Source organism: Homo sapiens, chromosome 4 (assembly GCF_000001405.40).
Source record: "Homo sapiens chromosome 4, GRCh38.p14 Primary Assembly".
Taxonomy (NCBI): Eukaryota; Metazoa; Chordata; class Mammalia; order Primates; family Hominidae; genus Homo; species Homo sapiens.
The window spans coordinates 99,274,728-99,299,196 of record NC_000004.12 but is presented as its reverse complement, the minus strand read 5'-3'; the positions used below and the strand labels follow the sequence as shown (position 1 = coordinate 99,299,196).

General features: G+C 36.7%; 1 protein-coding gene and 1 long non-coding RNA gene across 2 annotated transcripts in view, besides 6 other annotated features; one reads left to right on the top strand and one right to left on the bottom strand.

The window, feature by feature from the left end:
- The window catches only part of LOC100507053 (uncharacterized), a 212,500-nt gene that overhangs the window by 2,160 nt on the left and 185,871 nt on the right, over positions 1-24,469 (bottom strand). The window contains exons 5-7 of the long non-coding RNA NR_037884.1: positions 12,164-12,402; positions 10,412-10,531; positions 8,249-8,260 (exon numbers count right to left, since the gene is read on the bottom strand). This is a non-coding gene — a long non-coding RNA (uncharacterized LOC100507053). The remainder of the gene's footprint in view (positions 1-8,248; positions 8,261-10,411; positions 10,532-12,163; positions 12,403-24,469) is intronic.
- Positions 7,050-8,266: a promoter, noted in NCBI's record as "-1163/+55 promoter". NCBI's record gives the evidence for it as "EXISTENCE:reporter gene assay evidence [ECO:0000049][PMID:2169444]".
- Positions 8,058-8,095: a protein binding site, noted in NCBI's record as "FXR site". NCBI's record gives the evidence for it as "EXISTENCE:protein binding evidence [ECO:0000024][PMID:23772048]".
- Positions 8,158-8,177: a protein binding site, noted in NCBI's record as "C/EBP footprint". NCBI's record gives the evidence for it as "EXISTENCE:protein binding evidence [ECO:0000024][PMID:2050667]".
- Positions 8,179-8,190: a TATA box. NCBI's record gives the evidence for it as "COORDINATES:motif similarity evidence [ECO:0000028][PMID:2050667]".
- Positions 8,191-8,202: a protein binding site, noted in NCBI's record as "C/EBP footprint". NCBI's record gives the evidence for it as "EXISTENCE:protein binding evidence [ECO:0000024][PMID:2050667]".
- ADH1A (alcohol dehydrogenase 1A (class I), alpha polypeptide) lies at positions 8,212-22,828 on the top strand. The gene is made up of 9 exons (NM_000667.4): positions 8,212-8,300; positions 11,532-11,633; positions 12,209-12,347; positions 14,394-14,481; positions 14,579-14,798; positions 16,591-16,851; positions 18,918-19,053; positions 19,633-19,771; positions 22,549-22,828. Exons 1-9 carry the CDS (start codon positions 8,283-8,285, stop codon positions 22,571-22,573), a joined length of 1,128 nt encoding a protein of 375 aa, NP_000658.1. The 5' UTR covers positions 8,212-8,282; the 3' UTR covers positions 22,574-22,828.
- Positions 11,731-12,930: an enhancer, noted in NCBI's record as "MED14-independent group 3 enhancer chr4:100207424-100208623 (GRCh37/hg19 assembly coordinates)". NCBI's record gives its function as "activates an origin of replication core promoter dependent on BRD2, BRD4, P300/CBP and CDK7 cofactors, and independent of MED14, by STARR-seq in HCT116 cells {active_cell/tissue: HCT116}" and the evidence as "EXISTENCE:reporter gene assay evidence [ECO:0000049][PMID:35650434]".

Genomic DNA, 24,469 nt, shown 5'->3' with positions numbered 1-24,469 from the left:
CTCATAGCTCATCTCCTACTTATGAGTGAGAAAATATGATATTTGGTTTTTCATTCCTGAGTTACTTCACTTAGAATAATGGTCTCCAATTCCACCCATCTTGCTGCCAGTGCCATTATTTAGTTCCTTTTTATGGCTGAGTAGTATTCCATAGTGTTTGTGTGTGTATGTGTTTTATCTAGTCAATGATCGGTGGGCATTTGGGCTGACTCTATATTCTTGCAATTGTGAATTGTGCTACTATAAACATGCGTGTGCAAGTATCTCTTTCTTATAATGACTTCTTTTCCTCTGGGTAGATACCAAGTAATGGAATTGCCGGATCAAATGGTAGATTTTCTTTTAGTTCTTTAAGGAATCCCCTCACTTTTTTCCATAGTGGTTGCACTAGTTTACATTCCAACCAACGGTGTCAAAGTGTTCCCTGTTTACTGTATCCACACCAACAAGTATTATTTTTTGATTTTTTGATTATGGCCATTCTTGAAGTAGTAGGAAGGCATCACATTGTGGTTTTGATTTGCATTTCCCTGATCATTAGCGATATTGAGCATTTTTTCATATGTTTGTTGGCCATTTGTTTATTTTCATTTGAGAATTGCCTACTCACATCCTTAGCCCACTTTTGAATGGGATTGTTTGTTTTTCTCTTGCTGATTTGTTTGAGTTCTTTGTAGATTATTGATATTAGTCCTTTGTCAGATGTATAGATTGCCAAGATTTTCTCCCACTCTGTGGGTTGTCTGCTTAATCTGCTAATTATTTCTCTTGCTGTGCAGAAGCTTTTTAGTTTAATTAAGTCTCATCTATTTATCGTTGTTTTTGTTGCATTTGCTTTTGGGTTTTTGGTCATAAGTCTCTGCCTGAACCAATGTCTAGAAGGGTTTTTCCAATGTTATCTTCTAGAGTTTTTATGATTTCAGGTATTTGATATAAGTCTTTGATCCAGCTTGAGTTGATTTTTGTGTAAGTTAAGAGATGAGGATCCTGTTTCATTCTTCTACATGTGGCTTGCCAACCATCCCAGCACCATTTGTTGAATAGGGTGTCCTTTCCCCACTTTACGTTTTTGTTTGCTTTGTCAAAGATCAGTTGGCTGTAAGTATCTGGGTTTATTTCTGAGTTCTCTATTCTGTTCCATTGGTCTACAAGCCTGTTTTTATACGAGTACCATGCTGTTTTAGTGACTATAGCATTATAGTATAATTTGAAGTTGGGTAATGTAATGCTTCCAGGTTTGTTCTTTTCCCTTAGTCTTGCTTTTGCTATGTGGGGACTTTTTGGTTCCATATGCATTTTAGATTGTTTTTACTAGTTCTGTGAAGAATGACAGTGCTATTTTGATGGGAATTTCAATAAATTTGCAGATTGCTTGTGGCAGTATGTTCATTTTCACAATATTGATTCTACCCATTCATGAGCAGGAGATGTGTTTCCATTTGTTTGTGTCATCTATGATTTTTTCAGCAGTGTTTTGTAGTTTTCCTTGTAGAAGTATTTCACCTCCTTTGTTAGGAATATTCTAAAGTATTTAAATTTTTTTTGCAGCTATTGTAAAAGGGGTTGAGTTCTTGATTTGATTCTCAGCTTGGTCACTGTTGGTATATAGCAGGGCTACTGATTTGTGTACATCCTGAAACTTTGCTGAATTCATTTACCAGTTCTAGGAGCTTTATGGATGAGTCTTTAGGGTTTTCTATGTATACGATCATGTCATCAGCAAACAGTAGCAGTTTGACTTCCTCTTTACTGGTTTGGATGCCCTTTATTTCTTTCTCTTATCCGATTGCTCTAAGACTTGCAGTACTGTATTGAATAAAAGTGGTGAAAGTGGGCACCCTTGTCTTGTTCCATTTCTCAGGGGAAGGCTTTCAAATTTCCCCATTCAGTATTATGTTGGCTGTGGGTTTGTTGTCAATGGCTTTTATTACCTTAAGGTATATCCCTTTTATGCCGATTTTGCTGAGGGTTTTAATCAGAAAGCATGCTAGATTTTGTCAAATGCTTTTTCTGCATCTATTGACATGATCATGTGATTTTTGTTTTTAATTCTGTTTATGACTGGTCTCACATTTATTGACTTGTATATGTTAAACCTTCCCTGCGTCCCTGGTATGAAACCCACTTTTCATGGTGGATTATCTTTTGGATATACTGTTGGATTCACGTCACTAGTATTTTTTTGAGAATTTTTGTATCTATGTTCATCAGAGATACTGGTCTGTAGTTTTCTTTTTTTGTTATGTCCTTTCCTGGTTTGGTATTAGGGTGACACTGGCTTCATAGAATGACTTAAGGAAGATTCTCTCTTTCTCTATCATTTGGAATAGTGTCGATAGGATTGGTACCAATTCTTCTTTGAATGTTTCATAGAATTCAGCTGTGAATCCGTCTGGTCCAGGGCTGTTATTGGTCTCTTCAGAGTTTCTATTACTTCCTGGTTTAATCTAGGCCAGGTGTATCTTTCCAAGAATTTATCCATCTCCTCTAGGTTTCCTAGTTTATGCACAAAAACTTGTTCATAGTAGCCTTGAATGATCTTTTGTATTTTTGTGGTATTGGTTGTAATTCTTCCCATTTCATTTCTAATTGAGCTTATTTGGATCGTCCGTCTTCTTTTCATGGTTAATCTTGTCAATGGTCTATCAATATTATTTTTCAAAGAAACAGCTTTTTAAAATTTATCTTTTGTATTTTTTTGTTTCAATTTCATTTAGTTCTGCTCTGATCTTGGTTATTTCTTTTCTGCTGGGTTTGGGTTTGGTTTGTTACTGTTTCTCTAGCTCCTTGAGGTGTGACTTGAGATTGTCTGTCTATTTGTGCTCTTTCAATCTTTTTGATGTGGACATTTAATGAATGCTATGAACTTTCCTCCTGGTATCACTTTGCTGTATCCCAGAGGTTGTGATAGGTTGTAACACTATTATCATTCAGTTCAAATAACTTTTTAATTTCCATCTTGATTTCACTGTTGGCCCAGTGACCATTCAGGAGCAGATAATTTAATTTTCATGTATTTGCGTGGTTTTGAGGGTTCCTTTTGGAGTTTATTTCAAATTTTATTCCACTGTGGTCTGAGAGAGTACTTGCCATAATTTCAATTTTCTTAAATTTATTGAGACTTGTTTTTTCACCTATCGTATGGTCTACCTTAGAGAATGTTCCATGTGCTGATGAACAGAATGTATATTCTGCAGTTGTTGGGTAGAATGTTCTATAAATATCCAGTAAGTCCATTTGTTGTAGGCTGTAGTTTAAATCCATTGGTTCTTTGTTGACTTTCTGTCTTGATGACCTGTCTAGTGCTGTCAGTGGAGTATTGAAGTCTCCTACTATTGTTGTATTGCTGTCTATCTCATTTCTTAGGTCTAGTAGTAATTGTTTTGTAAATTTGGGACCTCCAGCGTTAGGTGCTTATATATTTAGGATTGTGATATTTTCCTGTTGAAATAGTTCTTTCTTTTATCATTATATAATGTACCTCCTTGTCTTTTTTAACTTCTGTTGCTTTCAAGTTTGTTTTGTCTGATATAAGAATAGCTACTCTTGCTTGCTTTTGGTTTTCATTTGCATGGAATATCTTTTTCCACCCCTTTACCTTAAGTTTATGTGAGTCCTTATGTGTCAGGTGAGTCTCTTGAAGACAGTAGGTACTTTGTTGGTGAATTCTTATCCATTCTGCCATTCTATATATTTTAAGTGGAGTATTTAGGCCATTTACATTCAACGTTAGTATTCAGATGTGAGGCGCAATTCTATTCATCGTGCCATTGTTGCCTGTATACTTTGTTTTTTTTTTCATTGTGTTGTTGTTGTATAGGTCCTGTAAGATTTATGCTTTAAAGAGGTTCTGTTTTAATGTGTTTCCAGGATTTGTTTCAAGATTTGGAGCTCCTTTTAGCAGTTCTTTTAGTGCTGGCTTAATAATGATGAATTCTCTCAGCATTTGTCTGAAAAAGACTGTAACTTTCCTTCATTTATGAAGCTTAGTTTTGCTGGACACAAAATTCTTGGCTGGTAATTGTTTTGTTTAAGGAGACTAAAGAAAGGACCCCAATCCCTTCTAGCTTGTAGGGTTTCTGCTGAGAAATCTGCTGTTAATCTGACAGGTTTTCCTTCATAGGTTACTTGATGCTTTTGCCTCACGGCTCTTACGATTCTTCCCTTTGTCTTGACTTTAGATAACCTGATGACTATGTGCCTAGGCGGTGATCTTTTTGTGATGAATTTCTCAGGTGTTCTTTGAGCTTCTGATATTTGGATATCTAGGTCTCTAGCAAGGCCAGGGACGTTTCTCTTGTTTATTCCCTCAAATATGTTTTGCAACTTTTAGATTTCTCTTCTTCTCCAGTAACACCAATTATTCTGAGGTTTGGTCATTTAACATAATCACAAATTTCATGCAGGCTTTGTCCTTTTTTAAATATTCTTTTTTCTTTGTATTTGTTTAATTGTGTTAATTTAAAAGCCTTGTTTTTTAGAAGTTCTTTTTTCTACTTGTTTGACTCTATTGCTGAGACTTTCCAATGCATTTTGCAATTCTCTCTGTCCTTCGTTTTCAGAAGTTTTGATTGTTTTTCTCTTATGTTATCTATTTCACTAGATATTTTCTCATTCACACCCTGTATTGTTTTTTTGATTACTATAAGTTGGACTTCACCTTTCTCTGGTGCCTCCTTGATTGGTTTGATAATCAACCTTCTGATTTCTTTTTATGGCAATTCAGAGATTTCATCTTGGTTTGGATCCACGGCTGGTAATCTAGCGGGATCTTTTGGGGGTGTTGAAGAATCTTATTTTGTCATATTACCAGAATTGTTTTTCTGGTTTCTTCTCATTTAGGTAGATTACATCAGAGGGAAGATCTAGGACTCAAGGGCTGCTGTTCAAATTCTTTTGTCCTATAGGATGCTCCCTTGATGTGGTGCTCTCCCCTTTTCCCAAGAGATGGAGCTTCCTGAGAGCTGAACTGTAGTTATTGCTTTTTCTCTTCTAGATCTAGCAACCCAGTGGAGCTACCTGGCTTTGGACTGGTACTGGGGAGTGTATTCAGAGTCCTGTGATGTGATCCATCTTCAGGTTTCTTGGCCATGGATACCAGCACCTTCTCCAGTGGAGGTAGCAGGAGAGTGGAGTGGATTCTGTGAGGGTCCTTGGATGTATTTTTGTTAAGCGTGCTGGTTTTGTGTTCGTTGGCCTCCAGCCAGGAGGTGACGATTTCAAGAGCACCTCAGCTACGGTAGTCTAGGGAGGATCAGGTCGTGGGCAGGACCATAGCACCCCCAATAGATTATGTCCTTTTCTTCAGCTACCAGGCTGGGTAGAGAAAGACCATCAACTAGGGGCAGGGCTAGACATGTCTGAGCTTAGACTCTCCTTGGTCAGGGCTTGCTGTGGCTGATTTGGGAGATGAGGGTGTAGTTCCCAGGCCAATGGAGTTATGTTCCCAGTGGGATTACAGCTGTCTCTGCCGTGTCACACAGGTCATCAGGGGAGTGGGGGAAAGCTGGCAGCCACAGGCCTCACACAGCTCCCATGCAGCCCAGAGTCTGAGGGCCGGTCTCACTCCCACCATGAGCCCTCAACAAAAATGTGTTTATTTCCTTCCAGTCAGCTGGTGAGCAGAGCTGAGAAATTGCCCCAGGCTATAAGCCCCGCAACTGAGAAAGCAAGCTGGCTCACGTTTCTTCTGCTGTCCCACAGAGGCTGGAGCAGCAGTCCACCGCCTTCAAAGGGTCTGTGGATTCTCTCTGCTTTCCTGGTATGTCCCTGCAGTAGTTCTTGGAGCAAAAGTTCACAATGTGGGTCTCCATGAACTGCTCTGTTCATCCAAGTAGCAGGTGCAAGTTAGTCCTGCCTCCTATCCTCCTCCATTTTGCCTCCTGATGACCCACTTTTCTTGATACATCTTAATAAAATACCTTTCTTTCAAGGTTTCCTCACCCTAAAAGTAGAAGTCATTTCTTTAATTTAATCAACAAATATCTGAGCACTCACTCTGTGCCAGACATTGAGTTAAGAGCTGAGAATCCATAATGAAAAGATGGAGTAGGATCTTCCTCCTTTGAATTCCACGTTGAACTCTTCTCCTGGCACGACCACTTCCTGCTTCACAGGAGGGTTCTCTGTCTTGTCTACCTGACCACAGCCAATCCCACTGCTAATCTGTAAACCCTTAAAGAGGAGACATCGGATCTTCTGGATTATGGGACTGCTCATAGAACAGTGCCTGTCCTAACATAAATGAGCATAAGAATTCAACAATCACTCATTAAACACCTACAGTATACATGGAGCTAGGTATAGTTGATGATATAAATGAAATTTAAGAACATCCCTGACTAGAAATTTCCAGTAGAAATTAGGAGACTGATCTCTACACTAAATATAGAGGGCGACAAAAGGGAACAGACCCAAAACCACAGGAGAGATGCTAGCATGACAGGGATGCAGAGACATAAAGCACAACAGTGAGATGGAGTTAATATACCTCCACGAGGGTGACCTTGTCCTGCATCTCAAATTTTGGGTAGGATTTGAATGGGCCAGAGGGACAGAAAAGAAGAGAAAGAGCATGATGAGCAAGGGCTTGAATGTTAAATAGATTCCTCTTTGGGGGACCAGGGAGATACAAGCTTCTAAAGCACATACGCCCTGTATTGGAGAATGGGGAGGAGTAGATAGATGAGAAGGTTGAAGCCATATTACGAAGCCTTGAATGCTGAACATCAGATCTGGGGCTATATTCTTACCTTGATACATTTCAGAAGCAACTGAAATCGTAGGACCTTCCTTGCTTCTCTATTGGGTGAATGTTTCTCAGTCTTGGTGTGAGTCTCAGTGCCTACGTAGTTAAAGCTTACTGAAATGTTCCCTTTACAATTCTAGAGAGATATGTCCTTTATGTTGACATGTTCATGTTGACAGACTGCATCTGATTAAACAGCTGCCTGTGCAATGCCTCCAAGTGTGGATAAAAGAAAAATTAAACTCATAATCTTGGACAGCCATGTGTAGACTAGTTACATTGATCAAAGGGCAATAGAAATGATCCAGTGAGGATTTGTCTGAATTTCCCACAATTATTTAAAATCTACCTCAAATACCTGTTCATCTATAATGCCTCCCCTGAGGCCTTCATTCTGAATAGTACCTCTGTCTCTGTCCCCAAAGCACTAACTGATCCCTGTGATAGCGCACTTCCCAGCCAGGCTGATATGTAGACTTGGCTGCCTGTGTATCTTTTCCCCATAGACTGTGAGCTTCCTTTTATGAATAATAATTGTAGCTAGCATTTAGTAGGGTGCTCCTACCTGTTAAACTCTATGATGAGTGCTTTACATAGATTATATCATTTATTCACTAAACAGTCCTTTAAAATGGTGCTATATTCACTAAACAGTCCTTTAAAATGGTGCTATATTCACTAAACAGTCATTTAAAATGGTATTATTCTTCTTCATCTTACAGGTAAACAAACTAAGGCAAAAAAAAAAGTGAAATAATAAGTGCCAGTACACAGAGCTAGTAAGGAATAGGGTCTGCCAGGTCCCAAAAAGCATGCCATCACCTTTGCCCCATACTGCCTCTGGTACAGATAGAGGTAATGTCTTATTTATCACTGCCATCCACTGGACCCAGCTTAGTGCCTGACACACAGAGGGGCTCAGTCAATGCTGATTGGTTTGAGGTGGAGCAAAAATGCTTAGCAGGGTGAGCACCTTTGCTGTGATTGAGTATCTGATTCTCTATGAAGAGAAGGGGAGTCCTGAGCCAAACACATTCCTCTGGCTCCTGGCTGTCATCTTTATTTGCCCGGCTTCTTTGCTCTTCCTCCTTCCTAACTGCACCGTTTGGATTCAAAGCTGGAGCTTAATGCAGATAAAGGGAAAACAGAACTTTGAATGACCACTGTGGGACTAAGAGAGGAGAAACAAGAAATTTGACAGATGAGGAATAAAGTGAGGAGAAGAGAAAATGATTAAGCTTTATCACTTTAACTTAATATTTAACCTAATGAAAACAAAATCTTATTTGAAATTGGAAAAATCAATGTATTGATTGCTGGTTCATTGCCCTCTTCTTTATGATTTGACAGTCTGTGAATAATCTAATGGGTGTGGCTTAAAGACCTAGATCATGTGTGGAACTGGAATCGGGTGTTATTCAAGCAAAAAAAATAAATAAATACCTATGCAATACACCTGCTTTATGCACTTGAGCAGGGAAGAAATCCACAAGGACTCACCAGTCTCCTGGTCTGCAGAGAAGACAGAATCAACATGAGCACAGCAGGAAAAGTAAGCAAAAAATATATTACTGTTGGAACTATATTCTCATCAATATAACAAAGAAAGTAATACAGTATTTGATGAATCATTTAAAATTCATATCTAAATTAGAAATGATACACTGAAATATGATATGCAATATATGCTATAATATGTAATGTATACTGAACTACAGTGGAAATAAGCTATTCCTAAATACCTTCAAAAAGAATGTATAGAATCTGTATCTATGAAGTGTTTATTTCCCACATTAAAGACATTTGCGGTAAAGCGATAATTTATTCCAAGCTAATCATGATTAATTTGTAAAGCCAAAGTTAGAAATGTCTTTCATCAAGAAGTTTTCTTTATATTAAGGTACCATAATTTAAATGTATTACTATTTGTATTTATATTTTTTGTGAATACAAGAAAGTTAAGTCTGATGAAAGTTTTATGAGAGGATTTGATTTAGAAGACTTTGAAATACCCTTTTAACCTTAACATAAAATAGTTTACAAAATGCTCATTGGTCTCACAGCATTAGAATCATCAAGGTTAATCAAGACAACATCAACATTCAAATTCTGATTTAAAAGGGTCTAGTAGGACACAATTCAGGCAATTTCCAGAGTAATCCTATGGAACAGTATCTTCCCCATATAAAAGTCAATATGGTTTTACAGAAAATTAATAATACAATTTGAATCACTTATTAGCACTAGGAACACAGATATTTGGTTTTGCCTTCCATAAATATCTTAATTGTTCAATGTGTTTATAGGTGCACAAAAATACATGTGGTAATACAATATAATCAATTGATATTTTAATTGCCTAATTACAAAAATTTGTGCAACTATTTCCAGTCCTTTTTTGTGTTAGGAGTGTATTACACAGTAAAATATCTCACTATGATAACTCAGTTTAAAGGCTCTGAGGCTTCTCTATACACTCTGTGACAAAACAGGTTCATATCAATAAGACTGGTTGGAAATCACATGGGTGGCCCATTGTTACTGTTCTTATTCCACCTCACTTTACTTTCATTCATTACTGATTAATATGTACATTCCACATAGAAAACAATTAGCAAAAAAATTAAATTTACCAAACTCAACTTAAAAGAAATAATGAGTTCCTACAGCAAAAGTATAAACCAATCATATTAATGAAAATAATAACTGATGAAATAGACAATTGCCTCCCCTCTTGGGCACAACATCAATAACTTAGTTTGTTGTCAGCATTTCATTTATGTTTATACATCCTGCATTATATTTTCCTCAAATGCTAAATAGTGACAATACTAACATCTATTTCATAAAGTAGTTGTGTTGTGATAATTCAATAAATGAATACTATAAAGAACTTAAAATTGTATTTGGGATGTAGAAATAAGTCAATAACTATTAGCCACTATTATTATTGTTGCTATTTAACTTTTTGCTAACTTTTTACTGACACCGAGTAGTGAAAACATAAGGCTAGATTCATCTTTATTCTCTGGAAAGCCAGCTTTGAGACTTTAGAGAAATTAGTTAATCACTGAGTCAATGGATCCTCAATTATTTCAGCTGTAAAATAAAGCCAATAATTCAATAGTACTGTCCTGGTAGCATCCTTATGAGATTTTAAAATAATGCATGTTGTTTATAGCAGCACAATTTGCAATTACAAAATACAGAACTGACCTAAATGCCCATCGACAAACGAGTAGATAAAGAAAATATGGTGTGCATATACCATGGAATACTACTCAGCCATTAAACAGAATAAAATAAAATAATGGCCTTTGCAGCAACTTGGATGGAGCTGGAGACCATTATTCTAAGTAATTCAGAAATGGAGAACCAAACATCATATGTTCTCATTTATAAGAGAGAGTTAGGCTATGAGGATGCAAAGGCATGAGAATGATATCATGAACTTTGGGAACTCGAGGGGGAAGGTTGAAAGGGGAGGTGAGGGATAAAAGACTACATATTGGGTGCAATGTACACTGCTTGAGTGAAGGGTGCACCAAAATCTCAGAAATCACCACTAAAGAACTTACCCAGGTAACCAGAAAACACCTGCACCCCAAAAACTATTGAAATTAAAAATAAATTTTATAAATAAATATAATGCAAATAACTCACCGAGCACAGGCCACAATGTGCCTGTCACATCATAGGCACCTGATAATCAGGAACTCCTACTATTAGTACTTTACTTCCAAGTATTCTGATATTTATTTGGCATTGATCATGTTGAACATCCTGCAAAGTTGAATAATTTGACAAATAAATAATGACAACGAATTATCAGAAGAACAAATTTCAATTGAATTTTTATCATAATTGCAATTTTGTTGATTCTCTCTGGAAAGAGTTTTGTGAATTGTACATGCTTAACCACAATGAAGACAGATATTACAGTTCACTGCCAAGCACTGGAAATTATGTGTACATCTTTTATTTTTAAGAACATCTATGGATAAGATCTGCTAGCTAGAAATTCAAACACACAGTGTCTCCAATTTTGAAATATGTATGTGTAGGTCTGAGTGTATACACACACACACATACACACACACACACACACACACCCAACTCTAACCTTTGTAATTTGGGGCTCAAATCAAAGCTGGAAGGAGTCTCTACACATAGATCAGATAACAGTACAGCCTCTCAAAGCTAAGTTGCAAATGGGTGTTGGAACAAGTAACACACAGAAGTGGTGGAGAGAGAAAATTAAAAGAGGAGAATAGGAAAAGAGAGAGAAAGAGATGTCATCCCAGGCAGGAAGGTAAATATATCCTTATAAACTCAGATCCTTTTGGCCTAAGCAGAAAATTGAGAAAGAAAACAGTGTATTTTATGTGAACAGACACTGACTCTGTCAGCAAAATGAAGGTGACTTAGAATTTGATGTACCAGCCAATAATTGTGGGTGAAGAGACATTTTCAGCATAGCATTAGGAAATGTCAGGATTAAACAACTTTGGAGAAAAACAACAACAACATAAGGATGGCCTTAATGAATATATTCCATTTTATCTCAGTGTGTTGTTATAGTTAACTGTTTATCTTTCCTTATGTTATTGCTTTTTTAAAATATATTTTTTTCTCTTTATAAATCAGAGGTGATCATTTCTATAGAGCACTTGTTAGGTACCAGACATGGGATTAGATGTTGTATGTACAAAGATGAAATGACACAATATCTGACTGCAAGCGTGGGAGAACACTGGTGCCATCTCTCTGTTTGCTTTTCTAGGTAATCAAATGCAAAGCAGCTGTGCTATGGGAGTTAAAGAAACCCTTTTCCATTGAGGAGGTGGAGGTTGCACCTCCTAAGGCCCATGAAGTTCGTATTAAGGTGAAATACATTTTTCCATTTGTATTTAAGTTTTAAAAACTCAGAAAAGTTAAAAAACGGAAACAACCAAATTTTTATATGATCATCCAGAAAATAGAATATACTTGTTGTCAAGGAAAGGTATAAATATAAATTTTTAAATTTTAAAAAAGTGCACACAGTGTAATTCCAGTAAAATACAAAAGAATTTATGTGTTTGTACAGAAAGAAAATTTCAAAGTGATATATATCAAGACTTCAAAATCAATTAGCATTAGATATTTTTATGTATTAATTTGCAACTTCTACTTCTATTTTTTAAAGGCATGCATTCTTTTATATTATTTAAGACTTAACTATTTCAGGATCAGTTACTTCACAGATTATTCTAAACTGTTTACTTCAAGAATGGAAGGTAGAGGAGGGTTTCAGCCTGGTCAACCTTGAGGATAAACTGAATCTTTCATACTTGGGATAGTAGGGATTATTAGCAAAACCCTTGAAAACATTTTGGAAGCGCAATTTCAGGGAACTGGGATTTTTAAATTCACCTGAGACTCACAATCTTTTATAAACATCTTCTCTTCACTCTGTAGATGGTGGCTGTAGGAATCTGTGGCACAGATGACCACGTGGTTAGTGGTACCATGGTGACCCCACTTCCTGTGATTTTAGGCCATGAGGCAGCCGGCATCGTGGAGAGTGTTGGAGAAGGGGTGACTACAGTCAAACCAGGTACAGGATTCACATTCAGGAAACATGATGGTTCACCATCCTAAGATTTCCCAGCCTGAATGAGGAAACAGAGGCAAAGAGGGACGAAAGGGCTTGACCAAGGTCACCGCGCAGCCAGGACTTCAGGGATTTCCTCTTTCCCTCTCTTCCTGCCTGACTCAAGCATGTATGTCTTTAGGCACGCATGTATTCTACCCTTCAACAATTATGTACTGAGCATCTGCTAGATGCCAGTCACCAGGTTGGAGCCTGGAGATATGTGAGGATCAAAAGGGACACAGTGCCTACTAGTGTGGCATTCATAATCTAGTAACTTCCGTGTTAGTGTTGGTGAACACGGTCTTCTGTCAGGGCCCAGACACCTAGAAATGGGAGGAGGGAAAAAACATAAGTATGGACATTGTTCTGTGCTGAGTTCACAAAATGGACGCTACATGGCTACGGCTGAATGAGCATGACCTTTTCTTAGGTGACCTATGCAGCCCCTTCACCAATTTCCTCTTGCAACGTGGTCTCTCTTCCTGAGCAAGGAATCAATGAAGCAGACTAGGTGAAAGGAAATGAAAGAAACATAGAAAGAGCCATCCACCATCAACAATGTCTGCCTTATTACTTTCAGCCATGCTTAAATGTAACTGGTTACGGATTACTAATTATAAAGGGAGAATAACTAGGACACTTCCATACTATCATTTTCACATAAATTTTACCTATAAAATGTTATGGGCCAACCATTTTTCTTGGTCTTGTGGAATAGACAGCATAGGTAATTTAAAATAAAAATTATGTTTAATTCTAAAAAAATCACTTTTTTTTTTTTTTTTTTTTGAGACGGAGTCTCGCTCTGTCGCCCAGGCTGGAGTGCAGTGGCGCGATCTCAGCTCACTGCAACCTCCACCTCCCGGGTTCACGCCATTCTCCTGCCTCAGCCTACCGGGTATCTGGGGCCACAGGTGCCCGCCACCACACCCAGCTAATTTTTTCTGTTTTTAGTAGAGACAGGGTTTCACCATATTAGCCAGGATGGTCTCGATCTCCTGACCTCGTGATCTGCCTGCCTCGGCCTCCCAAAGTGCTGGGATTACAGTCTAAAAAATCACTTTAGGCACTAGATTGGACCTGCCACTTTACCAAATACTTATTTGAACTGTGAACAGAAAAATAAAATGAACTGTCCAATTTGGGTTTCAGCTCCTACTAATTTCTTTAGTAGTAATAAATTAATAACTACTGAATAATAACTAATAACTACTAAACTACTAATAATAACTACTAAATAATACTAATAGTAACTAATTAGTTAGTAATAAGTTAATAACAAAATGACACCCTTACTTTTTACCCATGCTCCCTCCACTGTAACAGGAAAAGTAGATAATTCACAAATTATCAGCTAAAAACATTTCAAAGTCAGTTCTTATCCTAAAAGTGCCTAACTTATTGTGGAGGGTTGAAATTTCCAGAGGAATTTCTGGAATTGTTCTTTGTCCCATTTTTGATAGTTTTCCTCAAAAAAAGAACTGAGATCATTTTAAAAGCATTCATTTCATAATAAAGATAAACCTAGTTACTTTGAAAAGAATTAGTTCAAAATTCTCATTTTTATTGTAAATCAAACTATAACAAAAAACAGGTCTTACCAACATCTAGTGGAACTATTATACCCTACTTTCAACTAAAATTTATATTTATACTTACAGTAAGATTTATATAGTTAAGGATTAAATTAAATGTTTGTAAAGCCTCCAGGAGAAATTGGTACACCACATGAAAGTAACTGTTAATACAGTGGAAGCAATTTTTCTAATCCATGTTGTTTCCCATATTTGCATGTCCTCTTTAGGAATCTTCAGGCACTTATAAACCCAAACTGGAAACAAGGCTGTGGCAGGCAATGACAAATGACATATTTGTGATTGGACTGTATTTCTTGGAGACTTTTAAAGACACATGTTTCTAATGTTTTAAAGACATGTGAGCTTTATGTTTTTGCTCTATTAATACCTGGATAGAAATTGTAAAAGAATTTGTTTTATCCCTCTCCAGGTGATAAAGTCATCCCACTCGCTATTCCTCAGTGTGGAAAATGCAGAATTTGTAAAAACCCGGAGAGCAACTACTGCTTGAAAAACGAGTAGGTTTCTGATGCTCTCCCTGCGCAGACATTGAGTTTGCACATTAGTTATGGTCCTGTCTCATGCCTTTGTGTGTCTTTGTATTGCACTGTCCAGTGTAAGCAATCCTCAGGGGACCCTGCAGGATGGCACCAGCAGGTTCACCTGCAGGAGGAAGCCCATCCACCACTTCCTTGGCATCAGCACCTTCTCACAGTACACAGTGGTGGATGAAAATGCAGTAGCCAAAATTGATGCAGCCTCGCCTCTAGAGAAAGTCTGTCTCATTGGCTGTGGATTTTCAACTGGTTATGGGTCTGCAGTCAATGTTGCCAAGGTAAGAATGGCAATGGGTGATAAAAACAGTTACACGCAGACTGTCAGGAACCCAAAGGGAAGGAATGTCTCACAAGAATCGAAGATTATTTTTGTAGATTTTGAATGTCGACTAAGAATAGAAACACAATCCAGAAAGAATTGAGAGCACATGCTAGAAGTTTCACCTGTTTATCAGATTAAAAAGTTGTTGAGAGTTTAGAAAATGTAAAGATTTCATTTTCAATAATTACTCTTCTGTATTTGCTCTTTATGAGCTCATGAAATATTAGGCCTGAGAACTCATTTAGTAATTCATTCTACAATTAGAGAGCACCTACACATGCTTCAGGCACCATAGGTTCTGCTAGGCTCTGACAGCAAAAGTAAATGAAATGAAGCGTTTGCCCTTGAGGAGCAGCTAGTCTGTGGATCCTCTACTCCCAGAATTAGGATCAACAACAGTAGAGTCCAAAACCTTACCTGATGCACCTCCAAACCAAGGCTCACCCACTCTGTGGATTCTTAGACTGAAAGTAATGACGCTTCAGTGATGCGTAATTCACTCATTATGACATTTCACTGCTAAAACTAACTCCCCTGGCATGAACACACACATATATTCAGAAGTGGTAAATTTCAAGCAGAAATTCTTTAAAGGCTTCTTATCTGAGTAGGCTGAAAATCTAGTAGTATGCTTTATTTTATGAAACCGAGGCCCAGAGATATAAAGATATTTGCCCAAAGTCTCACTGCTGGTTAATATGAGAGCTGAGACTAAAATATCTTTTACTAATCTCCTGCTGAATCTTAGATCATGATACATAATTATTAGCACTTTTAAATCACAGTCACAAGCCTTGTATTTTTCTAAGTAAGTTAGAAAATGGTGTTGTCCCCCATAGTATTGCATACCACTTGGTGAATGAATGAATGAATGAATGAATAGACACCCTTAAGGGAATATAAGAATGAGATTATTTGGAACAGGAAGAGCATGTTACGCAAAATGAAGGCGGACTATGGGAGACTAGGTTTAATAAATATCCCCTGGCCAATTAAAAAAATGTAGATGGCATCTTTTCCAAATTTCTGTGACTTTAGCTCTTAGTCCCTTGTTCAATTGCCTCGTCTATTTTAACAGGTGATCTAAGTGAGCCTACCCAAGAACAGAAGATGAGGATACTCATAACAATATATTTTATTATTAAAATATAGACTAATGTTTCATTACTGTGTTATTCACTAGTGTATTTTTTAAAGCAGGGATATACTGGTCATGACTACTGAACATAAATGAACCAAGGAGTTCATTACTGAGGGTTTAAGTGGAATATTTTTCAGTCTCCTGGAGTAGCCTTTTCCACTTATTTTGTTTTCCAAATATTGCCTTTGTGTATATATGAGTTACTGAAGCTGGCTATCAAGGGATTTCAGCAATCGAGAGTCCCTTCAAGATTGTAATCACTGCCATCTGGATCTCAAAGATCATCCAGTCGCCTGGTTCCCAGCCTGACCTTCCCATTGGAGTCACCTGGGGACTAAGTTCCACCTGCAGAGCTTCTCATTTAATTGGCATGGGCTGTGACCTGGACAGTGGGATATTTTTAAACCTGCCCAGATGAATCCAATATGCAGCAGTTTGAGAACCACTCAACTAGTTCAACTCCATGAATTTAAAAATAAAGCAACTGAAGCCAAAAGAGGTTTTGATAACAGATTGAACAGAAGAGTTTGAGCAGCTTTTGATAAACACTAAGCATGGCACTTTATAAAGTTTTTATAATCCATTTTTGCATTTTCTGAAAACACAGGTCACCCCAGGCTCTACCTGTGCTGTGTTTGGCCTGGGAGGGGTCGGCCTATCTGCTATTATGGGCTGTAAAGCAGCTGGGGCAGCCAGAATCATTGCGGTGGACATCAACAAGGACAAATTTGCAAAGGCCAAAGAGTTGGGTGCCACTGAATGCATCAACCCTCAAGACTACAAGAAACCCATCCAGGAGGTGCTAAAGGAAATGACTGATGGAGGTGTGGATTTTTCATTTGAAGTCATCGGTCGGCTTGACACCATGGTATGTACCATGACATGCCCTGAGATTTCTGCCTCTACAACTTGGAGGATGCATTTAGGCTGCAGAATATATGTTTTCTGTATAAAGGATATTTTTAATGATGAATGGAAATTTCCCATCATCTGTTTGTTACCTGGCTTGTTTAATTTATTGTTATGAGGAATCTTTTATTCTATCAACTATGCAAACGTGTCTCAAGTCATATTTCCTCTAGAGGAAAAGCAAAGGGCTTGTTTTTCTTAACTGAGTGATAATAGATTACTTTGTTAATTTTTAGTTAAAAACTGTAAGTTAAAGTAAACATAAATAATACAAGTTCTGTTCTCAAATTGGAATGTTTTATTTTTCTGCCACATTCTTAACAAAAATGATTTAATAATTTTGCATATGTTCTTAATAAATTCCAATTTTTTTAAACATATTAGTATTTGGCCAAAAGAAGTAAGCAATTTTAGGCCAACTATTGTTTTATTAACAAAAACATGCCCTAAGGAAAGTGAAGCTCAAATGCATTACTATATTTTATCACAGAAACTGGACAGTACCTGGCACAAAACTAGAGCCCAATACTAGTAGGACTGAATACTTTGAAAAGTCAACAGATTTTTATCACCCCCCAAATTTCAAAGCTATATACTCATGGCATTGTTTATAGATTGCATGAGACAATGCATGTAATATACTTAGCACAGTGCAGCCTGTCATATGGTAAGCTCCCAATAAATGTCTTCTTTTTATTTGAGACAGGGTCTCACTCTGTCACTTAGGCTGAAGTACAGTGGCATAATTATAACTCACTACAGCCTCAACCTCCTGGGCTCAAGCAAATCTCCTACCTCACCCTCCAAAAATGCTGAGAATATAGGAACGAGCTACCACGCCCGGCCTCAGTTGGCGTTATTGATATGAAATACTATTTCCAATCTTGCAGTACTTACATCATCTTTGGCTTATTACATGATATTGCTTTCAAACAGTTACAAATATCAAAGGCAATGGGAAACACATCTCTAGCTATATTTCACCTACCCAGAATTCTCTAGAATCCTACTGAAAAAGTCTCCAGAGACCAACACGTTTCCATTGCCAAGATTTTCTAGAAGGTCCAGCAGTGTGGGTAATGGGGAGCAGCACCCTGAGATCAATGCTCTCAGCAGCCTTGCCCTGGGACAAATGCCACAGATGAATGAAGTGTCAAGAGATTCCACTTTTTCCAGGGCTATAGCTTTTCTCCTAATGTTCTTTTCCTGTATCTTCCTCCATTTTCTCATGTGGAACGGGAGTGTACCTTATCTCAAGATACCAAATATCTGACAGCCACATGTTCTGAGGATGTCTGGTCTCCCAAAGGTCAGAATCCAAAATCAAAGAACTAATCATTACATATCTTGGGGCAATCCTAAACCATTTTCTAACTATAGAACGTGTTCAGAAAGCTCACTGGAAAAGACTTTCTGAACGGTCTTTTGAGGTTCCCTAATAATCAGGGTATTTTAATGTAAAACCTATATATATTTGGGGAGATAAAAACAATGTTTAAAACATGTCCATTTGAGAAATGGACAGTAGAACAGGAATCCATTACAAAAGGAGACCATCAAGTGGACAAGAGACTACTTTGGTGATATAATCATTTATCTTGTTTCCCATTAAAATATGTGGTTGAAAGTAATGGGTTCAAAATACCTATGTAATAAATCAATGAAAAATGAATTAACCAACTCACAGATTGCCTAAGAATTATGTGATGATGAAATTGTATGCTTATATAAGGAACTGGACTTAATATATATTTGTGATGATATCTACCACTTTATTCCTTTATTAGGAAAAATTAAGTGCACTCCAATTTATTCATCCATTCTTTCATTAAAAAACCGTTTTCTGGGCATTTCCTAAATCCACAGCACTATCCCGTGCAAAAAAGGGGACTGAAGGAGCAAAAGACATAATCTCTTCCCTCTACACACTCACAATCCAGTTAAGCCTATTACATGATATTGTGCATTATGAATAGGAACTATGCGACTCCATGTTAAGAATGCTAAGTGTTCACTTTATTCCAGATGGCTTCCCTGTTATGTTGTCATGAGGCATGTGGCACAAGTGTCATCGTAGGGGTACCTCCTGATTCCCAAAACCTCTCAATGAACCCTATGCTGCTACTGACTGGACGTACCTGGAAGGGAGCTATTCTTGGTGGTATGTAGTTAGGCTTCAGAGCCAAATTCTCATTAACCTCAGCATATCTCCCCTTTTACAAGTGACAAGGCAAGGTTTTGAAAAGCAGATCAAAAACAAATTAAAATTCCTTTTCTATCTACAGTCTCCAAATCAACTAGATATGGAACTAATGCAGGCAGAAGGTCCCAAAATCGACATTTCTGATGCCACCATTAACAAAGTCTGTTCCTCTTCATCTGTTTTCGTACTTGTAACTGTGTAAGGCATGGGAATTTCTAGTAAGACACAGAAATCTACAACAATATTTCATATCTACACCCAAATTTAGACAACTGTTAAACTTGTTCCTTTGGGCATAACATCTGTACTATGATTTCTCTGTGGGAGAGAGAATAACCAGGGACCCTTGTTTATCTGTGATTTTTTTTTAAGTCTGAGCCTGTAAAAGCTTATTGAGGTACTGTATCTCTTATTAACCTCAGTCGTTGCAGTCTGGAAGCAGCATCTTTTCTAAACTTTCATTTATTTGGAAAATCTTCTCTTCAATTCTCCTACTTACCCTGGTTGAATCTAACAATGATACCATCTTCTTTTCAGGCTTTAAAAGTAAAGAATGTGTCCCAAAACTTGTGGCTGATTTTATGGCTAAGAAGTTTTCATTGGATGCATTAATAACCCATGTTTTACCTTTTGAAAAAATAAATGAAGGATTTGACCTGCTTCACTCTGGGAAAAGGTAGATTTTTTAGTTAGTTTTCTGTTTTGCTTTTTTTTCTACCATAGGGGATTGTCTAGCAGAAAATGAAAAGGTGGAAGGATGAGAAAAATTAGAGTGCCTTGGTTCTTCCATTACCAGTTCAGTCTTTACATGGAGAGCTTGTAAGAGAAGTTTAAAACCTCTGTGAGATGCTAAAAACAGTTGCTTTGCATTTCCTATTGTGCTGAAGCCAAATTATGTTGATTACAGCAAATCCGAATGATCAGAGACACTCAGCCTTCTTTAAAAGAGAACAATCACCTTTGCCAAAAAAAAAAAAGTCTTTTTAAATAACCATAATTATAACATGGTGTCATTGAAGCCTCTGCCTACCACCTATATAAAACTGACATTAGGTGGCTGTATATTTAAATAATTTTCAGGACATCCTCAACATTTTCATTATTGGAGTATGTGAAACTATATTTAGTTTGTTTTCTAAGTAGATATTACTAGTTTTTTCTTTTTCCTTTTTTTTCTTTTGCAGTTTACAAAAATTTTTTTATCAATAAAAGTTATTATAAAAGAGAAGTATACTAAACACTATTGTAAATGTTTGGCTTACTTTTTGTCTGAAGCTTAGAAAACTAAGCCAATTCTATTTCCTGTCTCTAACACTTAACTCTCACAACCAGCTAATAAAATGAATTTTGTCACCTGCATTTACATGAGGCACAACTGGAAACAGGCAGTTATATCTAACTTCTGCCTTCTAGCTCCAGAGTCTGAGACTTTTCTGCTATCCCATTCTTATTTTCACGAGATTTTCAACTTTTAATAGTGTTTCTTTGGCACTCACAAAATTATTATAGTAGATACTTTAACCGACAACATTCTTGAGGAGGGAAAGAAACTAGCACCCACAGAGCACCAGCTGTTCTACTAAGTGTCTTACCTGCATTATCTTATGTGATTCCCAGGCAATGCTCGGTGTCAGTCTCAATCTCACTATCTTAGAGAAGAGAAAACTGAGACTCAGAGAAGGCATGACTTGGTCAAAATCATCAGATGGTAGGAAGGAGAGCCAGAATTCAAAGGTAGATCTTGTTGTTAGCAAATATCTCACTTCTATTAAACCACACCGCCCCTCAAGAGCGCATGGATATATGGAACACAGTAGCCATCAAAGGTTAGTTATCATTGTCATCATTATCATTGACATCATCATCGTGATCATCATCATCATCATAGGATTGAAAAGATGATGGCAAATATAGAGATGAACAAAACCAGAAGATAGTGTTGAGCAACATAAGAAGTCATGAAGCATGCCTAAATTCACTTTATGAGAATGTCATATAGTAATATGCATATGTAAATATAATTAATCCTATCAATAAGATTAAAAATTGTAACACTCAATATTGGTAAGACTAAGGTGACTAGGCACTTTCATGTACTTTCAGTAGTAATTGATACATCCTTTTGGGAAAGCAATTTGGTAATATGTATCAGAAACCCTTAAAAAAAATGGATCTTTTGTTCCAGCAATTCCATTTCTAGAAATCTATTCTACAGAAATAATCAACTATTCAAACACACATATGTGTTTCAGCATGTTTACTTGTTTCTGTAATATCAAACATTAGAAACATTCTAAATTTCAACATGAGGAAAATGATTTAATAAATTCCAATCATCTATTAGAAATGAATGAAGCCATCAAAAAGAAATGACATTATTGGGAAATTCTCATGATATAATTTAGGCTCATATAATAAAGAATATAAATTTTATATACAATATCGCACATTTTCAACAACAGCAGTAAAACTTGTACATATGCCTAGTAAGAAGTTGATAGAAATTCAAGTAAACATTGAGAATGATTGTTTCTAGGTTGGGGGATTATGGATTACCTTTACTTTCTTCTTTCTGCTGTCTTGTATTCTCTGAATTATGTGCATATATTTTTCTTATATATGCATATGCAAATACATATATATTTTAAAAATTATTAAAGAGTCACAAAGACCATCATTTTCTAAAAATATTTATTCATGAGAAGTTGGTTTATAGAAAGGGCATTAGTTCTAGTGTAAATGTTCCTTTTGTAATCTTCACAAGAATGAAGTATCTTAGAATTAATACAAATCGACTTTATTCTCTACTTCTAAAAATCCTTAAACATATCTGTATCAAAGGTCTTTTAAACTTCCAGCATGGTTTTAACTTTGTTAAATTATCAGTTCTTTCAGGCAAGTTATTTATCATCTTATAATTTGTGCAAATTTGTATTTGAGTTTTAATCCCAAAACTCTATACTAGATATGCGACCAGACCAAGTTACAAATCTTTCTAAGTCTCAGTGTTTATAATCTCTAAAATCAAAATAATATGAAAATCTACCTCCTAGTGTTGATGTTTAGGTTGAAGTTTAAGACAGAAAATGCATGAAGAATGTGACAAATAGCAAAAACTTATCACAAGTTATTATCCATTGTTGTTTTATATTCCTTATTATAACAGGAACGTGGGCACACAACAATGATTTTTTGAAGATGCTAACGTAGTATTGAAGTCTAAATGACAGGCATACTCAGAATGTTGTGAGTGAGCTTAAAGTTGAAGAAAACACAAGAGAAAACCAAAAAAGATGAGCTTTCCTTTGACTTCACTTGACCCGAATGCATGGGGGTGGGATTAGAGTGGCTGAGAACAGACAGATTTTCACTAAGTCATTTCAAATGCTCCTTGGACTCTCACATGGAAGCATGTCTAAATGCTAATACAATGTCTCTTCTTTCCTATTGCAGTATCCGTACCATTCTGATGTTTTGAGACAATACAGATGTTTTCCCTTGTGGCAGTCTTCAGCCTCCTCTACCCTACATGATCTGGAGCAACAGCTGGGAAATATCATTAATTCTGCTCATCACAGATTTTATCAATAAATTACATTTGGGGGCTTTCCAAAGAAATGGAAATTGATGTAAAATTATTTTTCAAGCAAATGTTTAAAATCCAAATGAGAACTAAATAAAGTGTTGAACATCAGCTGGGGAATTGAAGCCAATAAACCTTCCTTCTTAACCATTCTACTTGTGTCATCTTTGCCATTGAGAAAAGCTATTTCCTATGACTTCCTGCATTTTTGGTATCTTCATAATCTTTAGTCATGGAATCCCAGTGGAGGGGACCCTTCACTTGCCCTGAATATACACATGCTGGGCTATTGTGCTTGTAGTCTCCTGCATCTATCTCAATTTTCACTGTCGGCATTTTCGCCTTTTTTTTTTTTTAATAAAATATACCGAATTCCTAGGGTAAAAGCTGTAGTAGGGTAAAGGATATACTCATATTTACAAGTGGTGAAAGTCCAAGAGTTGTAAATCCAGGAAATTTCTTAGGAACTCAAATAAAATGTCACATGTTTTCTTACAGTGAAGGAGAATGTTTTTCTGACATTTATACTATGTCTTTATGGTCAATATACAATTGATTTTTAAAAATAATAGCTGATTTCATGCTTCATATGACTAAGGTACAATTACTAATTGCAAAAACTGAACTATTCCTGGAATTATGTTCAAAAAATCTATAATTTTTGCTCATGAAAGTGCTTCATTGGCTAAACAGTATTAGTTTATGGCTATAAACGATTATTTAGATAATTGAAAATGGGTATAAAGTGATTCAAAATAATATGGTGGCTTTAAGTGTAGAGATGGGATGGCAAAAGCTGTGAACACAGAATGTAAAATTGGTAACTAAGAAATGGCACAAACACCTTAAGCAATATATTTTCCTAGTAGATAGACATATAGACATATATATACACACATATACAAATGTATATTTTTGCAAAATTGTTTTCAGTCTAGAACTTTTCTATTAACTACCATGTCTTAAATCAAGTATACAATCCTAGAATTAGTTTAATATTTTGAATATGTAAAGACTTGTGGTGCCTATTTGTTAATGCTTTCCCACTCTCAGGGGAAAGATTTGCATTTTGAGCTTTATCTCTAAATGTGACATGCAAAGGTTATTCCTGGTAAAGGAGTTACAGCTGTCTCCAAAAATGCTACTTGTTGCAATATCTACATTCTATTTCATATTATGAAAGACCTTAGATATAAAGTAAAATAGCCAAAATCGCGCCACCACACTCCAGCCTGGGCAACAGAGCGAAACTCCGTCTCAGATAAAAAAAGAGACAGAGAGAGAGAGAGAGAGAGACAAGGGATAGGGAGGAGGCTAATTCCAAAATGTTGGCCTGACAACTTGGTGTGGATGGTTGGTCCTTTCACCAACTTGTGATCTCAAGACATTATCAGGTATTTGTGGTGAAGATGGTTGACTTATTCCGTTTTGTGCTGCTATAACAGAATGCCTGAGACTGAGACTGGGTGATTTACAATGAAGAAATTTATTAGTTCACAGTTCTGGACGCTGGGAATTTCAATATGGAGGTGCCAACATGTGTTGAGAGGCTTCTTGCTACATCATCACATTGTAGAAGATAAGAGAGAGAACAAAAAGAGGCTGAATTCATCTTTTTGCAATGTAATTAACCCCACCCATAATGGTAGAGCCTCCTGGCCTACTTCTTTCTTAAGTTGTTCCACCTCTTAATACTATTACAATGGCAACCAAATTTCAACATGAGTTTTGAAGGAGAAAGACATTCAAGCCATAGCAATGGTTAAGTAGGAAAATGGACTTGAGTTTGAA